The following is a 3,472-nucleotide window of genomic DNA, read 5'->3' as shown; positions in this document are numbered from 1 at the left end:
AAGTATGATGCTGTAAGAAGCTCAAGACATTTTGACAGCTCCAACTGAGTTGTCATTGATCACAGTCAGAATTAATGTCCAGTCATGTGATAAGCCATCATGGACATCCAGCCCAGTCCAACCTTCAGATGACTGGAGCTCCAGCCAACATCTGATGACAAACACATGAAAGACCCCAGGAGAATCATCCCTCTGCCCCCAGTTGATCCTTAGAATCATGGTAAGTAATATTAAGGTTCTGTTTTAAGCTAATAAGTTTGGGATGGTAGGTTATGAAAAATAGATAACTGGAATGGAATTTGTTAACAGAAGTGAGGAGCTATTATAACAACAGCATAAAACAGGTGGGACTAGCTTTGGGACCATGCAACATGTGACACCAGATAGTGTTGATCCAGTTGATAATGTGTGATGGGGTGGAGGTTGGAGTTGGAAGAATACAAAATAAATTAGTAATGGGATCTGGTAAAAGGATAAACTTTGTTATGTGATGGAAGAAAGTTTAGTGAAAGTGTGGCTAGCAGCAATGAGAAAAATAGAAAATGAACCTAATGAACTAGGAGACTCAGTAAGGACATTTTTCAGACAAAATGTTGAACGTACCAACTGATTTCCTTTAAGAACATATAGTAAAGGATGAATAGGGAAAAATGTGATATAAGGAACATCAGTTTTCAAGCAGAATTTTGATGAATATAAAGGCTACAGGACATATTGTGTTCAAAAATAAAACTCTTCCTAATCACCAGCCTCTCCAGATTGCAAAGCCTCTCAAAGTAAAAAAGAGACCCAAGGGGAAGATTATCTTAAAGGTGAGAAGGTAAAACTTCAGAGAAATTTAAGGGTATGCTGGTAATGTCTCTGAAGTTGACAAGAGGTCTCCTAATAATCTTAAGACCATAATTATATAGCACTCTCACTCCTAGTCTTAATTTCAAAAAGAGGCTTGTCTGGAAGAAATATATAGATGTACTTTTTGTCCAGTGGAATGAATCACAATAAATCTCATAAGAAACCCACAAAGTTTGAAGAGAATTGAACTGGCAAAAGCAAAATCTGCTTGGATATTTTTTAAAAAGGGAAAAGAGACAGTTCAAAATGAAAAGAACCTTTAGACATTTAAACTTATATGAATAGGAAGCAGACTGAGAGGTGTTCAGTTGCAAATATAGTTCCTTTTTGCTTTCCTACCAAAAAGCAAGCATGACAGAGTATATAACCAAATGTCTGAGAGCAGAGTAAAAAGCCCAGTGGTGGAGCCAAGTGCCACAGAAAACAGCTTTCAGGAGGCAAAACTGAGCATTTAACAAGGAACAGGTGACCTGCACAAAGTTGAATTTCAAAAATACTTTAGATGAGTGACTGTTACATGACACCTGTTCTTTACCCTCCAAATTAAATGGTAGTATTAATGGCCCATTAATTAATGTTAAGAGAGCAGATTACTTGTCTGTTTAGACCAATATATTCAGATCAAGAGAAACCACACTACGTATGCTTCATTCAAGAAGTTTTATGCACAGTTGAATCTAAATTAGATGAAAAAATCCTGGGCTTGGAGCCTGAAACTTTTGTTATAATGCGTACAAGTTTTAGAGGCCTTTTGAAGGTGACTGTACATAATTTGTAACGCTATGGCAGCTGCAATAGCAAATTCTTTGCTACTTTTCCTGTTGTGAAGTGAAATCTAATTTTTCCCCTTCAATCTAAGCTGACCCTATGCAGTGTTTTGACAGAGAGAATGCAGTGAAATTGATTTGAGGTTCACAATCCTAAATATTTTCCCAAATATTTACTAGTGCCAATGAAACCACTTAAAGAAAATGTTTCCATAATCAAAAAGTTTGGCAAATACTACAAATTGCATGGTCATTTAGGAAATTCTTGATGTACAGCAACTTTCAGAAAAGACCTGCACCTATAACTCTCTTTGGCTTTATGTGATATATTATTTCCCAAACACTTTTGGCCCCAGGACATTTTTTTTTTTGGTCATGATTTCTATAGACCTTTCACATAATATACTTTGAGAAAAGTGATCTAGGGAAGGTTTATGACATTCTATGGTTCTTCATTAATGCATTCATCTTTTAAAGAAAGGCTTACTGAGTATAACTCAATATAATGCTAGGCCTCAGGCTACAAAGGCTAATAAAAAACATTTGCCTTTAAAGATATCAGTAATGAGTAGAATAGAAAAAAAAACCATTTAAACATATAAGTTAAATATTATAAAAAATGTTATGATAAACTGTCTAGGTAAGAGCACATTAATATCAAGGAGAGGAAAGTACACATTATTTTTGTCAGTAGAGTTAATCAACAAAGATAGTTGAGTAGGGCTAAGAATTTGACATGCATGTAAAAGAAGAAAGTGAAGATGGAAAAACATATTTTCTTAAAGTCAGAGATGGAAAAGTCACAGATTAAAATAGCATGGCATAATTAAAAAGCACTTTAGATACTTCAGAAAGTAAAGATTTAATATAGAAAATGTGATGCTTACAAAAGTCTCCGTAAGGATGGAGGAAAAACAGACAGGAGAGGCTAACAGTTTTCAGGCATGCTATTGTAATAAACTGCTGCTGATGACTACTGCTGTTTTGATTGATTCATTCAAAAGCACACAAAATCTACTGCAGAATGTTACATCTACCAAAGTCCACACATGGGCCTCCATTGCATATCATAATCTACCTGCTGAAAACCAGAGATAAGGGGAAAATCTTAAAGTAGCCAAAGTAAAGGAGGAAAAAGTTCAGAATTAATTACAGCATTCACCTCATGAGAAACAATGTAAGCTGTTGAACAATGGGAGATCTATTATGTACTGAATGAAAAAAAAAGAACATGTCCATAAAAAAGTCTGAACATAGAAGAACTATCTTTCAAAAACCATAGGTAAAATAAAGACATTTTTAGATATGAGAATTCAAAGGTAGCTCATTGTTAGTACATCAGCACTATAAGAAATGTAAAAGGAAAATATCAGAGAAAAATTTGTGTATACCAAATATAGTCCCATCAGGATATAGCAAATGAGCACAAAAATAGAAAAATACATATATAAAAGATGTTTTTCTTGTATTTTAAATTACTTTATATGATAATCTATTGTTTAAAGAAAAACTATACTAATGTCTTACGGAGTTTATGATGAATATATGACAAGGATAGTACAAACACCAGAAAGAGAAAAGAAATGAAATGCATTATTGAATGTTTCTTTATTTATTCCCCCTTTTTTTTTTTTTGAGATGGAGTTTCACTCGTCGCATAGGCTGGAGTGCAGTGGCACAATCTCGGCTCACTGCAACCTCTGCCTCCTGGGTTCAAGCAATTCTCCAGTCTCAGCCTCCTAAATAGCTGGGATTACAGGTGTGTGCCACCATGCCTGGCTAATTTTTGTGTTTTTAGTAGAGATGGGGTTTCACCATGTTGGCCAGGCTGGTCTTAAACTTCTGACCTCAGG

Source organism: Homo sapiens, chromosome 8, assembly GCF_000001405.40.
Source record: "Homo sapiens chromosome 8, GRCh38.p14 Primary Assembly".
Classification (NCBI taxonomy): domain Eukaryota; kingdom Metazoa; phylum Chordata; class Mammalia; order Primates; family Hominidae; genus Homo; species Homo sapiens.
Note: the sequence above shows the minus strand (reverse complement) of the source record.